At 38.3% G+C, this 19,917-nt stretch overlaps 1 protein-coding gene across 2 annotated transcripts in view; it reads left to right on the top strand.

Annotated features, from left to right (window-relative positions):
* ZMAT4 (zinc finger matrin-type 4) overlaps positions 1–19,917 on the top strand; it is a 367,237-nt gene that overhangs the window by 313,600 nt on the left and 33,720 nt on the right. For both annotated transcript variants that reach the window (NM_001135731.2, NM_024645.3), the window contains one exon: positions 2,966–3,062. In NM_001135731.2, coding sequence (NP_001129203.1) covers positions 2,966–3,062 — 97 coding nt within the window. The remainder of the gene's footprint in view (positions 1–2,965; positions 3,063–19,917) is intronic.

Below are 19,917 nucleotides of genomic sequence, written 5' to 3'. Positions count from 1 at the left end.
TTGGTAGGTCCTGTGCAAAGCTAGCATGGATACTGCTTGACTGGGCAGGAAGTGCGAATTGATTCTCCTCAGGATGCTTTTGTGAAAGGAAAATAAACTCAGGACCCCAAAATCACTAAGCCAAGCGAAATGTCAAGCTGGGAAACCTGCCTCCCATTTTCTTCCTAAATATGATAGCTACAAATTTCAAAAGCTACACACCTCCCTCACAATTTGCCTTCAAGGAAATTCCTCGTGGACAAAGGGCAGACAGAATTCAAAGTCATCCATCTGAGGCTCACCTGAGACAAATGCATATATGATTGTTTCCTCTACCCTACTGTTGATGTAAAAATGCACATTTGCTGAGCCAGACTAAATTCTGTATTTAGTGGGAGGCCGATCAAGGACTCAAAAGAATGCAGCCTTTTGTCTCTTGTCTACTCATGACCTGGAAGTCCCCGCCTCAAGTTGTCCCACCTTACCAAACCAAACAAGGTACATCTTACACATATTGATTGATGCCTCGTGGCTCCCTAAAATGCATAGGAGCAAGCTGTACCCTGACCACTTTGGGCACATGTCCTCAGGACCTCCTGAGGCTGTGTCAGAGATGCGTGCTTAAATTTGGCAAAATAAACTATCTAAATTGAAATTGATTGAGACCTGTCTCAGATACTTTTTGGTTTACAATTTCATGACTTTTTCACAGACTTGTCATTACTTAATACGGGCTAAGTAGCTCCTCTGGTATCACTTTAAGCACCTAGATTAGCCAGGTGAACACTTTCAGCATCTTTTTGCTGAAGTATCATTGCCCTCAACTTCAGGCAGCCCTTTTGGGTAGTATCTAAGAAGTCATCAAATCAGCTTCTTTCATACAGGGTACACACAGTCTGTGAGAAGCTTTCACATATCCTTTCTTCTGACAAGCTCTGAGAACACAGGCCATGCCCAATTCTGTCACCTTTTATACTTTGCCACCAGGGAAGATAACAAACCACAGTCTCTAGCCATTTGGATCTTGCAGGTGATGACAGAGTCCAATCTACCACTTCCCAAGCAACAAGAAGGTACTCCTCAAGCCCTCTAGGTAGTTCTGTGCAATCCCTTCTCCACAGGCTTAAGGTGAGGGAGAACTCCACGGTCCCACATGGAACTCACGGTACAATATAGCTCTCTCTTAAGAAAGTCTCTACCCATTTCTTTCTTTCTTCTTCAGTCTCTTCTTCGTACTGGTGGTGAGTGGTCAGCACGGGTTCGTGACCACTTCCCCTGGACGTTCTGCACTGATGCTCTCTTACCTCATTTTGGTAATGTGGGTATAGTTATCATCTGTGTCTAGGACTTCCCAGTAGGGCTTCAACTGGACACTCAAACAGAAAGTGTTTCCATGTTAACATCTCTTCAAAATAGTAAAAATAGCAAGCCCGTATTGATCACTTGTTATGTGCTGGGCACTCTCACATACATGCCAGATCTCACTCAGCCCTCCCCACAATACTGTAAGAAAACAGAAGTCCAGAAGGGTCAAATAATTTGCATAAAGTTACCCAGGTAGCAAGTTGCAAAGCTATCCCAGCATAGTGCATTATTTTCTTTTCAGGAAAAGAGGAATAACTTTGCCTGTTAAAATTAAATACTATGCATTGATAAAAACAAATGCTACAGCTTTCAGTCCTGGCATTTACAATGCTAGAACAGAATTTTGTACTCATTTGCTAAACATTGTTGTATATATATGTCACTTTTTTTTTTTGAGACAAGGCCTCACTCTGTCATCCAGGCTGTCATCCAGGCAGGCAGTAGCACTGTCATACCTCACTGTGATCTTGAACTGGGCTCTCAGCCTCCTGAGTAGCTAGGACTACAGGTGTGTGCCACCATGCCTGACTTTTAAAAATATTTTTTTTGAGACCAGATATTGCCATGTGGCTCAGGTTGGTCTTGAACTCCTGGCTTTAAGCTATCCTCCTGCCTCGGCCTCCCAAATCATTGGGATTACGGGCCATTGTAATATCTTATTCACCTAGTTCTTACAACACCTGGTGATGTGATCAGCCTTGTCTTCGTCTTGTAGATGGAGAAACTGAGGCTAGAAATTTCATGACTTCCTCCAGATCACAAAACTAGAAATGACCGGAGTCAGAATTAAAATCCAAAGTTTCAGATCATGACCAACTTTACTTTTCTCTCTATTCTGAAGGGACATACTAGCTGAAGGAATATGTTTCATTATGGGTCTCAGCTCTGCGGCAAATGTTTAAGGCTATTTGGTTAAAGCTGTTTTCTAACATAAATTGGCTCTAGATCAGTCAAGATTTTTACTAAACTTCTGAAAGCAAAGAGCATCTTATCCATCTTGGAATCCCTAGTACCTGGCCCAAAGTTGATACTGTATTAGTGAATTAATTAAATGAATGAAAAAGTGAATGAATAGATTGCCTTCTAAATTCTGGTGGAACGTAAGACTTCACATGAACCAGATTGATGTATTATTCTCCTCCTGGTATTTACATTTTATAAAATAATCCTAGAAGAAACACCTAAATGAGTGATGTCTAAAGTTGAATTTTCAATGCTGTCATTGGAGTAGAGTGGAAAGGAATTAGGATAGAGTTTTTCTCTGGAGTCTCAAATTTCACTGCAGAGATGACAGTGTATTATGTCTATATGATCTAGAGAAAAATAGAATGCATCTCTGTTTGAGTATAAAATGCCCAGGAACACCTTACCTCAATTCAAAGAAGGATGCTCTAATAATTTAAGCCTTCCAGAAATGAAATAAGCTGCTTCTAACATATTCATAATTACACTTCTGCTAAGAGACCTGTTGGCTGTGCTCTGCAAGGAAGGGTTGAAGTGTTGGTGGGGTAGATCAGGAGTTATCTCCGACACTGTGTCCCTGAACTTCTGGAGATGCTAGGATTCATTTCAGGTGGTTGACGACTGGATGCAGCTAACCAGGTCTGTCTGTTGTCCACAGGTCTGAGGCGCAATTACAGATGTACCATCTGCAGTGTCTCCCTAAACTCAATAGAACAGTATCATGCCCATCTGAAAGGATCTAAACACCAGACCAAGTAGGTACTTTTGTGCTTTCACTCTTCAGTTTCTTCGATGTAATTTTTAGTAAGATGACTAAAGGCTCAACATTTCATCTATTTCTAAATAAGTAGAGTGGAAATTACATCTCTTTTGCTTCAAAGTTCACATGATATTTATGCTTACTTGAAGAATGGCTTCTTCCCTTTATTTGGCATGAGTAATAAGAATCTCTTTTTTTCATTTTTTCAAGGACAGTTTAGCATACTTTTATGAAATTAGGACATATTAAAATCTATGCTAAGTGTTTTAAAATCAATAATATTATTCTTATTTGTAGGATGTACCAAACTTTGATGACAAATTCTATGAATGTCTTCTACCACTTTCCCTTTCTGGATGAATATTGTTGATTATTATAGAAACATAACAAATCCCCCAGGATATTAAGTCATTTATATACAATGACTATTCACTATTATACAATGACATTTATATACAATGACATTCACTATTTCCAAGTGAATGGAAACTTATTCCATTTTTTTCAAATATTCTCATAATTTTAAACTGAGAAAGTCTCACCAGGCACCATTTCACCTATATTTATACTATGCAGCTCTTTAAAAACCACTGGACATTTTTAAACCAGCTGCTAGGACTGTTAATAAAATGCTAATAAAATATGAAAAAAGCAAAGAATGTCTCAAAAAGTTGTAATTTTCCTGAGCATAATTGTTTTCATTTCTGTAATATTCATTAGGAGGATCATTTAACATATTGGACTGTATCAAGACCTCATGAATTATGAATGTTAATTTAACAAACATTTGTCGAGAGCCCACTATGTCTCATACTCCAAGCTGTGCACTAGGGAAGAAAAGATGAATAGGCCGGGTGCGGTGGCTCATGCCTGTAGTCCCAGCATTTTGGGAGGCTGAGGTGGGCGGATCAGGAGGTCAGCAGATAGAGACCATCCTGGCCAACACGGTGAAACCCCGTCTCTACTAAAAATACAAAAAATGAGCCAGGCGTGGTGGCACGTGCCTGTAGTCCTAGCTACTCAGGAGGCTGAGGCAGGAGAATCTCTTGAACCTGGGAGGTGGAGATTGCAGTGAACCAAGATCAGGCCACTGCACTCCAGCCTGGGTGACAAAGCAGGACTTCGTCTCAAAAAAAAAAAAAAAAAAAAGATGAATACATTGAGTCCTTCCTCTTCCCCCTGCCAGGCTGAGGAAACAGCTGTGTAAACCCATAGATTGTTCTCTAATGCCACGTGTGCACCCGGAGCTTTAAGCATGGGGGAGGGAGCAATCCAGGGCAAGCTTTAGGGGACACTAGTGCAGAGGCTGGTGCATAAGGATGAGGTTATGGTCTGATTTTGCTCAACACAATATCCTTGTTTCCTAGCACAGCATCAGATATGTTATTGGGTCTTTATACACTTTTTTGATTAAATGAATATGTGATTTCAAAAGATGAGTAACAGTTTTCTAAGCAGGAGTATGAAATGGAGCATTACAAGCAAAGAAATTGTTTTGCAAAGATATTGCAAAGATGTACATCACAGGGAGTCTAGCTCAGGTGAGAAAATTTAAACCCAAAGTTAGTTACTGACTCTCAGTTTTCTTCTCAATATTCTGCCTTGTGAGTCAAAGCCAGTTCCATGGCTTGCATTACTCTGGTCCGCCCAGAGGACTCTTACTGGAATAATTCTTCAAAAAGAAGATTTTCCTTGATTTGTTATGGAATACTAGAGTTCTTGTATTAATTATCGGATACTGCTCATCCCCCCAAGCTGTTTTCATCATTTCTCTAAGTAACATTTTGTTACAGGCACCATACACATTTGAATTAACCTGTATCTGATGTGCAGACAGACACACAAATACCTGCAACAATAAAAGATAACTTTTTGGGAGCATGTATTCATCACTCAATACATAGAAAAAGATAAACAATGACTTTAAATGGTATGAATTATTTAAATAACTAATACAGATAGTACCTCCAGATTCAGAAAAATGTCTCTCTTCTCTATTCTGTACATATATAACTTCATGGGCTAGAATCTGTGCTAGGTATTTTCACATCTATTATCTCATTTAATTCCCTTAACTACCCTTGAGATAAATATTAATATTATTGACCTGTTATCTTACATGAGAAAACTAATGCTTAGAGAGGTAAAGTGACTTGCCCACTATCACCCTGAAAGCAGATGGCAGAGCCAGCACTGATCACAGTGGTGTCTGACTTATGTCTCCACTTACTCCATGTCATTCAGTTAACACGAACTTAGGCTTGGAATGGGAGCCAATAGAGAGTAGTATGTGCATTTTGAAAAGAGGGTTCCACTTCCTTGAAGTGATTTAAATACACAAGACTTCAGAAGGGAACATCTCTTATAGTGCTGCCTTCTTTCCTATAAATAAGATGTTATTCATTTCTAACTCAAAAGAACAAAGCTGCTCTCTTTGTGAAGAAAATAATTACACTGTCCTGTTTCACATGCCTGTTTTATCTGCCATTAGACCTAATTTGCATATCATGTGCGGGCATGCTTGTGATCAAGATTGAGATTGAAAGAGAGAGAGAGAGGAGAGAGAGAATAAATGATAAATGTTTGTTCAATTCTTTTGTCTGTTTATAAAAATCAATTTTTTTTTAGTAAGTTGTAGAAGTGTCTAATTTTTAAGGAAGTCTAATTTATCAGTCTTTTTTTATGGTTAAATTTTTTTGAGTGCTATTTAAGAATTCTCTGCTTATCCTGAGGTCGATAAGATAATCTCCTATGATATTATGTTGTTTTTCCTTACAAATATAGGTCTTTGATCCACCTAGTGTTAATTTTATGCATAGTGTGAGGGAGAGATTGAGTTTCATGATTTTTTTCCATACAGATACCAATTAATCCAATACTATTTACTGAAAAGACCATCATAGACATTTTTTGTAAATCAGGTGATTTACATACATGTGTACGTGTGTGTCTGTCTCTATATTCTGTCTCAGTGTTATATTTCTTTTTTTATGCTAATGTCACATTACTTATTTCCTATAATTTTATAGTGTCTTGATATCTGATAGTGTAAATCTTCTAATTGTATCTTCTTATTCAAGACTGTCTTCACTGTTCTTTCCTCTTTGCGTTTCCCTATAATTTTTAAAATCAGCTTGTCAACTTCCTCAAAAAATCCTTCAAAATACTGAGTTTTCTAATCCATAATCATGGTATATACCAGCGTTTGTTTATATCTTCTTTAATTCTTTCAATAGTGTTTTCTAGAGTTCTTTGTAGAGGTCTTAAACATCTTTATTTAGATTTATTCCTAAGAATTTATTGTTTTGGGATACTAGAATAAATTTGATTATTTAATAATTTCATTGTTAAAATTAATTACTAAATTAAATAATAATTAAAATCTATTATTGTTTATAATTGATACATAATTGTACATATTTATGGGACCTAGTGTGATATTTTGATATATATTTATAATTAGCAAATTCATCACTTCAAAAATTTATCATTTCTTTATATTGAGAACATTTACAATCCTCTCTTCTAGCTATTTGCAAATATGCAATACATTTTTGTAGAACACTAAAACTTGTTTCTTTTATCTAGGTGGAATTTTGTATCTATTAACCAATATTTTCCTCTCCCCTCTCCCACTATTCTTCTCAGCCTCTAGTAACCACGATTTGACTCTACTTCTATGAGATCAGCTCTTTTAGCTTTCATATGAGTGAGAAGATGTGGATCTTCTTTTTGTGCCAGGCTATTTCACTTAACATAATGTCCTCCTGGCTTATCCATGCTTCCATGAATAGAAAGAGTTCATTCTTTTTAATGGCTAAATAGTATTATATGTCTTTATATAGATGACATTTTCCCTATCCATTCATCTATTGATGGACACTTAGGTTGATTCCATATTTTGGCTCTTGTGAATACTGCTACAACAGAAATGGGAGCACAGACATCTTTTTTTTTTCTTTTTTGAGATGGAGTTTCACTCTTGTTCCCCAGGCTGGAGTGCAATGGCACAGTCTCGGCTCACTGCAACTTCTGCCTCCTGTGTTCAAGCGATTCTCCTGTCTCAGCCTCCCAGGTAGCTGAGATTACAGGCATCCACCATAATGCCTGGCTAATTTTTGTATTTTTAGTAGATACAGGGTTTCACCATGTTGGCCAGGCTGGTCTTGAACTCCTGACCTCAGGTGATCTGCCCGCCTCAGCCTCCCAAAGTGCTGGGATTACAGGTGTGAGCCACCACACCCAGCCACCATTTCTTAAATACACTGACTTTCTTTCCTTTGGATACATACCCAGTAGTGGAATTACTGGAACATATGGTAGTTATATTTTTAGGTTTTGGATTTATTGTTTATCTTTGCAGTTTGGTGGTTTTTCGTAGTGATAAGGTTTGATTCCTTTACCTTTCTCTTTTGTTTATCTGTCCCACCAGTGAGATACTTTCACATATTTTTATAATGGTAGTTATTCTTCTTTTATTTCTAGATGTAGGACTTCCTTAAACATTTTTTGTAAGGCTGGTCTGGTGATGATTAATTTCTTCAGTTTTTGCTTGTTTGGGAACTTCATTTCTGAAGAATAGCCTTCCAGGGTATAGTATTCTTGACTGACAGTTTTTTTTTTTTTTTCCTTTCAGCCCTTAAATATGTCATCCCATTCTCTCCTGGCCTGTGAGGTTTCTGCTAATAAATCGGTTGTTAGTCTGATGGAGATTCCCTTACATGTGACCTGATGCTTTTCTCTTGTTGTTTTTAGAATTCTCTCTTTGTCTTTGACTTTTGACAGTTTGACCGTAATATGCCTCAGGGAGGACCTTTTTGGGTTTAATCTACTTGGGAACTTTTGAGCTGTGTTTATGTGGTTGTTTATGTATCTCGGTAGGTTTGATAAATTTTTAGCTGTTATTTCACTAAATAAGTTTTCTACACATTTTCCCATCTCTACTCCTTCTTGAACTCCCATAGCACAAATATTTGTGTTATGGTTTCCCATATGTTTTCAGGCTTTCTTCATCTTTTTTATTCTTTATTATTTTTCTATTTTGTCTGCCTAAGTTATTTCAAAAGGTGTATATTCAAGCTTAGAAATTATTTCTTCTGCTTGAGCTAGTCTGGTTTTTTTATGTTCTTGATGGTACTTTTTATTTTATTCATTGAATTTGTCATTGCCAAGATTTGTTTGGTTATCTTTTTTGAGATATCTAACTTTTTGTTGAATTTCTCATTCTGATAATGAATTGTTTTTCCAATTTTGTTGAATTGTCTATCTGTATTCTCTTGTATCTCACTGAATTTCCTTAATATTTTTATTTTGAATTCCTTTTCTGGCATTTTGTAATTTCCTTTTTTATGCCTTTATTACTGAGGAATTATGATCCTTTGGAGGTGTCATGTTTCCTTCACTTTTCATGTTTTTTATGTCTCTACATTGATAACTGTGCATTCAGTAGAATAGTCACCTCTTCCAATTTTATGGAATAGCTTTCATAGAAAAGACTTTTTCCTGTAGATGGATCCCAGAGTCTCAGTAGAATAGAGTGTACTGACTTTGATTCTAGGTAAACACAGTAGTATGGTCTCTGTATAGTTTCTCCAGCTGTAATTAACAGTAGTGATGTTGTAAATGCCTCAGTGGCCTCAGCTGTGGGAGTTTGTGGGGGCAGTGGTGTGGCTTTGCTGAAGGTGAGCTTAGTGAACTGGTTCTCAGTCTGGGGACATGGCCATACACTTGGTGGGTCAGCTGGCTCTGAGACTGATTCTCTTGGGATGAAGCTTTCAAGCTGTTTCTCTAGCCCAAGGCATAGGGGTTTGGTGGCTTGGGCTTCTCAGGGCTGTATCTTCTTGGGGTGGGTCCACAATTGTGTTTCTCTGGCTGGGCGCATAGCATACAGTGGCTCAGCAATTCAGGGACATGTCTGACAGGCTGTTTCTCCAGCCAGTGGTGCTAGGGAAGACTATCTGGGGGCAGGTTTGCTGAGCTGTTTGGCTTGGACAGCCTGGGGTTGACTTCCCTGCTCTCAAAATTAGAGTCATGGCCATTTCTGAGCCTCAGCCTTGAGCAGCCAGGGTGGTCATGTTGCAGCCACTCATGTGAGCTTGGTGAAACAACAGCAGAGTCCCAAGTCTAGAAAGGCACAGTGGCTATCAGCTCCCCAGAACAGGTCACACTCCAGCAGTGACTTTGATTTCAAAATAATGCCATGCTGCAGCAGCTTAGATCATGGGGTTATGATCAGTAAACAATGTGGGCTCCTACTTTTGGAGTAATGTAGCCACAAGAATTCTAAGCATCTCCTCAAACTGGGCTCAGGACTTGTGAGGACTTTGGGATTCCCCTGTAGTAAGAACTACAGGTGTCTGCAGTGACAATGTGGGCTGGCGAGGGTACTTCTGCCTATCTTTTCTCCACATGGGAAAGTCCTTCTTGGCTCTGAGTCAAACGTGATGGAGAAGACAGGGTAGCAGAGGTGGGTGCCTCATTCCCCTCTCTATGCTGGACTTTTGTGCTCCACAAGGATTTTGCCAATTTTTTGCTGTACATCAACACTCTCTTTCAGACACTCCAATCAAATTTTAGTTGTTTATTTTTTATTTTGGTTCTTTTTTTGTGGGAGGAACAAATGCCAGGCACCACTAGTCAGCCATCTTGCTGTTGTCTCCTTACTTATATTCTGTCTGCATATTCTACCCAGGAGAAACAGGCGTTGAAAACCTTTAACTATAAATATGGATTTGCCTATGTATCCCTTTTTCTGTATATTTTTTGGTTTTATATAGTCAAAGTATATTATTAGATACTTACAAATATAAATTTTAAAAATTTATTTCCATTCATTTGGCCCTTTGTATCAACTTTTATTCATTATCAAATGTTTTTCTTTTTCCCTAGTATTATTTTTTCCTTAAAGTATACCCTTTCTGATATTAGTGTACACCAACATCAACTACACTAACTCTTCAAAGCTTTTAAGGATTTCAAATATTTTTTCCTTTAAATTTAATAATATCCAGAATTTATTTTGTTTTCAGATGGAAGGTTAGTGTGATAATACTTAACTCTACCATAGTTGAAAATGTAAGTCAGCCAAATGTACTTAACTATTGCAATCTGACCAATTAAATAAACATAAGTATTCAGGTGCCAGTGATTATAGAGGTATCAGATTTATATTTTTACTAATAATATCTAAAGAAGTGTTGGTAAGAAAAAAGATTATTAAACTGTGTGGTGTAAAGAGCACTGAATTGTGAGTCAGGAGATTTTAATCCTCTTGTGACTTTGCCACTCAGTGGCCTTGTACACTGACAAATCTTTTCTCAATCTTAAGTTCCTTCATGGATTAGTGATTAGTGATGACAAGAACACAACAAATATGGGTCCACTTTCCATGCCCTTGCTCATGATCCTGGCACTCTTTCCAGCTCATCCTAACTATAGCTTTAAAATTGTTCTCAAAACAGATTTCCAGATAGCCTTTGCCATTTTATTGGAGCTAGCACTTTGTATGTATAGTGGGTTGAATAATGTCTTTCCAAAATTCAGGATCCCCTCAGAGCCTCAGAATATGGCCTTATATGTAAATAGGGTCTTTGCAGATGTTATCAGTTAAGATTCTCAAGATGAAATCATCCGAAATCTACAGTAAGCCTTAAATCCAATGCCTGGTGACTTTAAAAGAGAAAGGAAAGGGAGATTTGGATACACAGAGAAGAAGGCTAAGTGCAGATGAAGGCAGAAATTGGAGTTATGTTTCCACAAACCAAGGAATCACCAGGAACTGGAAGAGTCAAGGAAGGATTCACTCCTAGAGCCTTTGGAGAGAGAGTGATGAAGCTGACACCTTGATTTCACACTTCTGGACTCCAGAGGTTGTGACTAATTCTTCTCTTATGGAGAGAATGAATTTCTGCTGTAAACTACCCACATTATGATACATTTTAGGCAACCCTTTAGACACATTTTACTAAGCCACTGCTTACAATGCCTGCCCTGGTGATGATGATGATAGAGATGATGCCACCATGGATAACTGGAGTGTAACTTGTGAGCCTCTGGAGTAAAGCAACAAATTTTATTGTTCTGAAAGTACTAACATATCTAAAATGCACAGCATTCTTGTAGTTGGCCAGATGTTCTTATCTTCAGGTTATAGGTTAGAAAATTGAGTCTCAGAGAAGTTAAATGACTTTTCCAAGGCCCTAAAAGTAATTGTTAGCAGAGGCAAAAGTCAGGTCATATGCCTTTATTACTACTACTATTATGATAACTAATCAAACTGTAATTGTCAGATTGCTCTTTGCTGGTAGTAACCAGACACGGTCTTTTACATTTTGGGGCAAAAGCTGTAAACAGCATAATGGCAGTCAAATTTCTCTCCATTGTTAAACAACAGGAGAAATATTAACTATCTGATGAGATTAAAGGTTTGGAAATGCAAATGCTCATGGCAATATTTAAAGCAATTGCCTATTAGTAGACTTTTCAGAGCTTCCAGGGGATATAGTTTGTCAATTAGTACAAATGATTAAAATAAAATGTAAACGCACTGTGAGTATGTACCATAGATTAATGAACAATTCCCCATTAATATACTTAAATTTGAGCTTAGGGAACACTCCAGGCCTCAGGACATGATGTTACCTAGAAATAAAGGATATGAAAGTTGTCATTACTTACTTTGATACTTCAGTTGGTTGAAAATGAGATACAAGTGTCTAAGATAATAAATTAGACTGACCAAAAATTAGTAGTAATTTCTAAATCTGCTTCTTCCTTTGAGAAGAGGCCTTAACACGTGATATCCATTTGTTTCTCTGAGGTTTTTTTCTAACTGGTATGAATCCTCATGACAAAAGCCTCGTATTATTTATTTCCCCATTATACTCATTTATTTGGGAAGTACTTGAATGAATGTTCAGACTCATTTTCAGGGATGGAGTATCTTTGTTTTCAATATTTTGGAATTCGCTTCCCACATTCAGCATACTAGTTAGTTAGCTGAGGGTCGCACAGTAATAAATAAGACACTTTTGTAAGATACATGAACCACAAAGAACCTTCTATATTTAATAAAAGAATAAAAGCAGCTTAAAATCCTGAGAAGATGTTCTCTTTGAAAACAATCAAACAAATCATAAGTCATGCATGGATTTCAAAAGCTAAACATATTAATATTCTTTGTAGAATTTTCAATGTAGTTTACTGATATTAACCAAGAAACCCAATAACCAAGAAACCTGAGACTTCGATATTGTGCTTTTCATGAGAAAGCATTTTTTTCTGAAAAATACAAAATATGTATCACCAGTAAAATTTTGAGATAACAGGCCATAAGAAAATATTGAAAATAGAGCTATCCTTTTCCAAAGAATGTAAAGTTATTTCTCTTCAGCTGATAATCATTTGTAAGCTGATAGTAAAGCTCTGAATAAAGGGTGAAATCTGGAACCCATGGCTAATTCTTTGCTTGCCCCATTTTATAATTCTGAATGTAAAAAATAGCTCTTCTCCCTGAAAGTAAGACTTGTGGTGTGTCATCAAGTCTTTCTAGCTAAGGACTATCTGGATAATCAGCATCACTGTGACAACGACAGGAATGAGGCTGTGTCACAGCCTTTGGGCCAAAGGCTGCTTTCTACCTAGCCCTGTCTTTAATTGGTAGAACATTGAAATCCACTATTGTTAAGAGCCCTCCATTCTATGAGGAAGGCCTCAGAAGAAACAGGCTCTAACTTCTCACATGGAAAAGGCAGTAGCTTTCAGAGAGAATTTCAGAGATGCCGAAAAAGACTGTATATGTATCTCTATATCTACAGCACTAATACATAGGCAATTTTAGCAGCTCTATTTTTCTAAGTTGCACTTGCATGCTTTTGCTATACAGGCTGTACCTAGGGATACATTATAATTACAGTATGTGACTAGATGAGGTGTTTTGCCGACTTGAAAAGAACTAAATGGGGAGCATGTTCATTCTTTCATATCACCTCTAGAATTACCGATGACACTTAATATTGTTTAGCTCATTCATTTCCTCCCTGCTTCCTTCTTGGGGGACCTATAATCATTATTTTGTCTTGCTTGAAATTTGCATGAGTCATGATTGCCTCCAGAATGGTTCCGAGCTGATGATTTAATGTCTCAGCTTTAATTGTGAACCCCACAGAATACCTCTCATGTTCTTACGATGCTGCTTCAGATTAGTCCTCCAGTACCAATCTCCAGGGGTGCAAGGTCATTACCCGATGTGGTTCTGAGAAGTTTATTTGCATCAAGAAAGAAAAGAACTGGAAGGAGAGTGGTGGAGCCTTATAGACCTGGCCTGGGAAGCAGATGGCCAGAGTCCCAGGGTCAGCCCTGTCTCTCAAATCCTGAGATCCTGAGTGGCTTTAAAAACTTCACAAGGTTTTTTTGTTTGTTTGTTTGTTTGTTTTCTGTCGTTGTTGTTCTTTGTTGTTTTGGAGACAAGGTTGCTCTCTGTTGCCCAGGCTAGAGTGCAGTGGTTCCATCTCAGCTCACTGCAACCTCCACTTCCTGGACTTAAATGATCCTCCCACCTCAGCCTCTGGAGTAGCTGGGACTTCAGGCGCACATCAGCACACCTGGCTAACTTTTTGTATTTTTAGTAGAGACGGGGTTTTGCTGTGTGGCCCGGGCTGGTCTCAAACTCCTTGTCTCAAGCAATCCTCCTGCCTCGACCTCCCACAGTGCTGGAATTATAGGCATGAGCCACTGCACGTGGCCCCACAAGTTACTTTTAAATAAACCGATTAAGCTGCAGTTGAATACAGTGCTATGCACAGATTTCAGTTATACAATTTGATGGGTTTTGACAGTCATCTACACCATGCAACCATCAGCCCAATCAAGATGTAGAACATTTTCATAACCACCAAAGGTTCTCTTGGACCCCTTTTTGCCCAATTTCCTACCCCCATCACAGCTAACCATTATCTGATTTCTATCACTGTAGTCTAGTCTTGTCTATTCTAGAACTTAATGGAATAATATGGCATGCTTTCTTTTTTGTCTGGCTGCTTCTGCTCAACATAATGTTTTTGAGAGTTGTTCACATTAATTACACGTGTCATTAGTTCTTTCTTTTCCTTTGTGGATTTGAACAAAACAAGTTCCCTCACTGAGTTTTACTGTCTTCATTTGAAATGTGAGGGGTTGGAATACAGAGTAGTCAAGGTTCCAATCAATTCCAACAATCTCTAATATTATGACCTTAAAGTTTAACCGACGTTTCTTTAGTGTTTTTCTATTTTCCAGCTGGCAGAAGGTTGTCTGTAAAATCTTTTTTCTCCAGTGCTTTCTTCTTTACTGCACGGTGGCCTAGAAGCTGACCCACCCTGCAGTTGGGTCCAGCTAGGCCTACTACAAAGAACAACATTGTGGAGGCCTCTTTTTCCTGTTCTTACGTTAAAGGCAATAGGGCTGTTCAGGTGGCTATGACTTGGGGCAGAAGGGATAAAGTCGGTTTTACAGGGAGAAAGTGAAGAAAGGAGCTTATTTTCACTTTATTTCCTGCTATGAATACAGAGCATAAACTCTAATGACTTCTCAGGCAAACAGGGATGGGTAAGAGGGAGTCAAGAAGGTTCTAAAGGAGATCCTGGCTTCTCCTCTGAGCAGCCCAGGCTGCTGGACTTACCCTCATTCTGGGTCTTCTGTAAGTTAGTGTAGTGCCTTCTCATACATTTCACCAAATTTTATAAGAAATTAAAATATGTCCATTTGTAAACTATCTATAGCTGACGTTGATTTTTACAAAAACTTTAGTAGAATTTTGAGTTTAGCCAACATTTCTCTGATCTCTTAGAAGTTGTGGATTGTGGAATACCCGGCAATTGAATTAAGTAAATGAGAAATGTCACTTTATTTAATTAGATTTTGCTGGGGAAGTAGGGAGAGAAGGTAAGTTGGGAATGGACATGTCCTTGATTGTGTTCCTGAATCAGTTATTTATCACTTCTCTTTGGGGTGGAGGATAAGAGCTCATTTTGGCTGGGATTTTCATTTTGTAGCTGGAGTGGTGGTGTGAATTATTGGACAAATCAGCTCCCCCATCCCATTTAATTTAATCCCATAATCAAAATCCGTTGAGTACTGACTGTGTTTGGGACATTAAAACAGGCCCTAGGGGCAATGCAAAGTGATTATAGAGATGATTGTACCTTTTAACAATTAATAATCTAGTTGAGGGGATGCAACAAGTAGTGATTACAGTTAACGTCAACATATGATATGGTGAGTAAAAGAGGTGCAAAACATGGGTAGAATTCAGGGGAAGAAGTAACTGCATCTGCCTGGAGCCATCAAGAAAGGTTATTGTGGACTGGGTGCAGTAATGTGTATTGGGAATGAGACTGGCTGGGTTCAGTCCTGAACCTATCTACTAATTCTGTGACCTTGAACAGATACTTAAATACCTCATTATGGCTTAGTTTCCATATCTGTGAAATGTAATAGTTATAAAAAGTACCTACCCAAACTGACTATAGTGAGGATTGAGTTTTAAGAACAAAAGCAACAACAATAATAATAATAAGTACTAAATGGGCCCCGAGGAACGGGTAGATGAATGTTGAGGTGTAACCCTCAATACTTCTATCCCAAAATTATGAAAATGCCCAGAATTTTTCCTTGCATGGCTAGTTTCTTGCCCAAGGTTGGGGTTTCTGGATTCTCACAAAGTTCCGGCCTGCTCAGGGTTTAGAACCCCAGTGGATCTCAGTGAAGCTGCGGGATAGAAGAAGTGATCCAGGAAAGGTCTCGAAAGACGATTCTCATTCTGAGTTTCTTGTGGTCTTCTGCCTCGTTTTATACAACAGTTTCAAGCTTGATATTCAGTCCTGCACTCTCGGAAGAAATGTTTGCTGAATGCTCTCAATTATATGTGGCCATTACACCCTAATTTCTCACTCAGACTCCCACTTCCTCTAGCTCTTTGACAAAATGACCAAGTTCATTTTGTCAGTCATGTACAATTAGCACATTATTCTCTGGAGACCATGGAGTATTAACCTTGACAATAAATAAAATAAATGAAACTATTTTCCTGGATGAATTTCCTAAATCATTCTCCCAGTGGTCTGTGGGATTCTCTACGTGGAATTTCTTTACCATTTTGATTTTAGGAAGGTTATTTTTCTTCCCATTTGCATTTTTCATTTTATTATTAAACATATATACACTGCCTACTCAGGAATCTTTATGCTACCACTGATAGTATATTCTGGCTAATCTCAATATTCACTGATTAAATCTGAGTGATGACATTTGATAAATGCTATATTTTCCAGAGTTGGAAGGATTTTTTCAAAAAACAAATGATGTCTATGCATGACAGAGACATCTCTTTAAGTGTTAAACACTGTTATTTAGGTAATTATTTAGTGATAAACATTTTAAAGAGTTTTGGGGTTTTTTTTTGTTCTTTCTTTTTTTTTTTTTTGAGACAGTCTTGCTCTGTCCCCCAGGCTGGAGTGCAGTGGCATGATCTTGGCTCACTGCAACCTCCGCCTCCCAGGGGGGTTCAAGTGATTCCCCTGCCTCAGCCTCTGGAGTAGCTAATTTTTGTATTTTTAGTAGGGACAGGGTTTCACCATGTTGGTGAGGTTGGTCTTGAACTCCTGACCTCAGGTGACCTGCCCGCTTGAGCCTCCCAGAGTGCTGGGATTACAGGAGTGAGCCACCATGCCTGGCTTTTCTTCTTTTTTGAGTTAATGTTATCTAGACCATTCTATATTGTGTTAAGAATAGCCAGATGTAACCAGAATCTATACCTCATTCAGAATATAAACTTATATAAATATCAATAGTAATATGTATTACCTGCAATAGTCCTTAACAGCAAATAGGAACCATGTATTTTTCTTTAGCTTTTAGAGTAACAGAAAAATCTCAGTCCATTTCATGCCGAGTAGTCAAATACAAATCAAAATCTATAAAGTTCGCTTTCAGAAATGTTGGTGTTATTTCAAGCTCTAGGACACAATTAGTTCAAAGTTCTATCTACGGCCTCTGGTGCTATTGTACTCTCCAGAGATATATCTGTCTTTTCTCTTCCTTATGTAAGTGCCTTTCCTTCTAAAGACACCCAACAGGATAACATGTGCACTTTACTCTTTTTGATTTCTAAAACCATCACCACTGAACTGATTTATATTCTAACAAAAAGATCTTATAAATGCCTTAAATAGATGAGTTTCAGACCTCTGGTTTTATTTCCTGGGACATGGATAAAGTTCAAATAATACATTCTGTTTTCTGACAACTTTCCACTGCTAAATCACATAAGCTTACTAGATAACTCAGATGTCATGGCCAGATAGCTTACTAAATTAGCACCTAGTTGTCCCTTAGTATCTGTATTGGAATGGACACTTTAAGTCTCTGTGTAGGTGGGTCTAACTGGGTATGTTAAAGTTTCTCATTTTAAATCTAGCTTTTGGTCAGTATAATTCCTATTCAAGGCAACTGAGTAGGGGGGAGCTTCAGATTTTTCAGTATCCTCCATACCAGAAGGTTTGGAAGTCATACAGGTTTCTATTTCTTAGTCTTGGAACCAGATGTCATCATTTCTGTATTCCACATCCCGTGAGAGTCCTGAAAGTAAAAATGCACCTCCCATGGAAAGGAGAGATCAGGTCACAGTGTAATTTGAGAAAGTCATCCCAGCCTGGAAATTGAATGACCACCCTCTGCTGCACCCCTTCTAAAGGTAATAGGAAGGAGGTCAGGTTCTCTCACACCCACATGTCCGGAAAACATCAGCACAAGTTAAAAAAAGATCTGGGCAATGCTCTTCATTCTATGTGCACATTGGAGAGGCAGCTTTCATTTCCAAGTTACTCTAAAGAAACCCAGTATAAAATAACTAGTCAACCTTTTGGAGCATGCAAGTGATATTTCTGGAGTGAATCTAGAGAGTTTATTTCTGTGGATGAAATCTGGTTCACTCACGATCTGGAGGTTTTCAGTGAGATAGTGTGTCACGGCGGAGGAACATCAGAACTTTCCTTGATTTGGTCAATAGTTTAGCAAATATTTATTAAGTGACCCACCCACTCTGTGCTAGGCTCTGAATCACATAGTAAATGACAAGTAAATAAATTGATTTCTTGTCCTTAAAATGCTCAGGTAATTTTTAAAACGCCTAAACCCTAAAGCGCTATGATTCCAGAAAAGTCACCCAAATTCTTGAACTCATTGAAATCACAGGAGAGAGTGCTGGGGGCCTTCACAGTGGTGAAGGTCCTGGAGTCCTATTAGCAGCTGTCAGGAGTGTGGTGTTGGGTGACTGGGCACCAACATGGACCTGCAGTTCTTCCAAGCCCAAGTTATCACTGGCAATGTAGGTTCTCTGAGGAGCTCTTATTAAAAAAAAAAAAAAAGGTAGCCTGGAACCTGAGTTGGGAAAGAAGGCAGGCTTAGGATCTAGGAGGGATGTCAGATATGAAAAAGATGGTGGCAATGACCAGGCGTGGTGGTTCACACATGTAATCCCAGCACTTTGGTAGGCCGAGGAGTGTAGATCACCTGAAGACAGGAGTTCGAGACCAGCCTGGCCAACATGGTGAAATCCCATCTGTACTAAAAATACAAAAAATTAGCTGGGCGTGGTGGCGGATGTCTGTAACCCCAGTTACTCATGAGCCTTAGGCAGGAGAATTGCTTGAATCTGGGAGGCGGGGGTTGCAGTGATCGCCCCACTGCACTCCAGCCAGGGCAACAAGAACAAAACTTCATCTCAAAAAAAAAAAAAAAAAAAAAAAGATGGTGGCACCAAACCAGCACTTGCTGTTGTGTTGAATGAGTTGATATAGAAGCTTTGACTTCTAAGGACTTACCCAAGGAAATTACTTTTGTCACTTAGAAACTCATATTTTCTGGGCATTCTCTGAAAAGCCCTCATCACTTATATATGAGGATTTGAATTTTGTAACACCTGATAGAATATTTCATTGCTATTAAGTAAGGGAAGAAACCAGGGTTTAAAACTTATGTTAAGAGCAAATGACATTTGTGATCAAAGAATGATGATTAGAGACATCAATCTGTCCAATCTCTGTTGAAAATTACTTTGATTATTCTTTCTCCCTAATAACACTTGCTCTAGTGTCATTTAAGGAATTGGTAGCAAATGAGCAGCTCCAATAAGACAGTGTACAGATAAAAGAGTAAGACTGGATGTCAGATTTTGTTAACAAGAACTGCTTTAATGTTCTAAAGCAGATTTTTTACTATCCGTGCAGGTAATTTTTCTTTTAACCTTGAAGTAAGATTATTCCTGTGTCTTCTGATTAAAATATCTCATCCTGTGCCCACAATGGATGCTCAACAATTAATGGTCTTTCTTTTCTCAACTGTTTAATTAGGGTTGAAGCCAACACATAATTTGAATGACTAAAATCAATGAATATCATGAATATCATTCCAAAATGTACTCTACTAATGTGAGTAATTTCTCCATTCCCATGAGACAGTGGAACAGGCTGCAACAGTGGCCCTGCCTTATGATGTGATTTCAATAAATTGCTTCCTTTTCTCAAAGTGATATGTTCTCCCCTATACACACCTGCTAGGTAACTGTCAACATTTTTTCCACAGAGGAAAACTTTACTTTTGTCTACTTTGCAGGCAGGGATAATTGCACAGTGAGATGTGCAAATGACAAATACTAAAATCTTATCTGTGAGTTTAGAGGGGGGTGGCCCGAGACTGAAATATAGAGTGTCATTGACAGGGGGAGAGAAGGCAGAAAGAGGAAGCTGGCATCAGCAATGAAAATCTTGGCCTTTTAGGGTCCAGGGTTGGGCAATCCTGTAGAAATAACACCTGCT

The sequence above is a fragment of the Homo sapiens genome, chromosome 8 (assembly GCF_000001405.40).
Source record: "Homo sapiens chromosome 8, GRCh38.p14 Primary Assembly".
Taxonomy (NCBI): Eukaryota; Metazoa; Chordata; class Mammalia; order Primates; family Hominidae; genus Homo; species Homo sapiens.
This window is presented reverse-complemented; position numbering and strand designations above follow the sequence as displayed.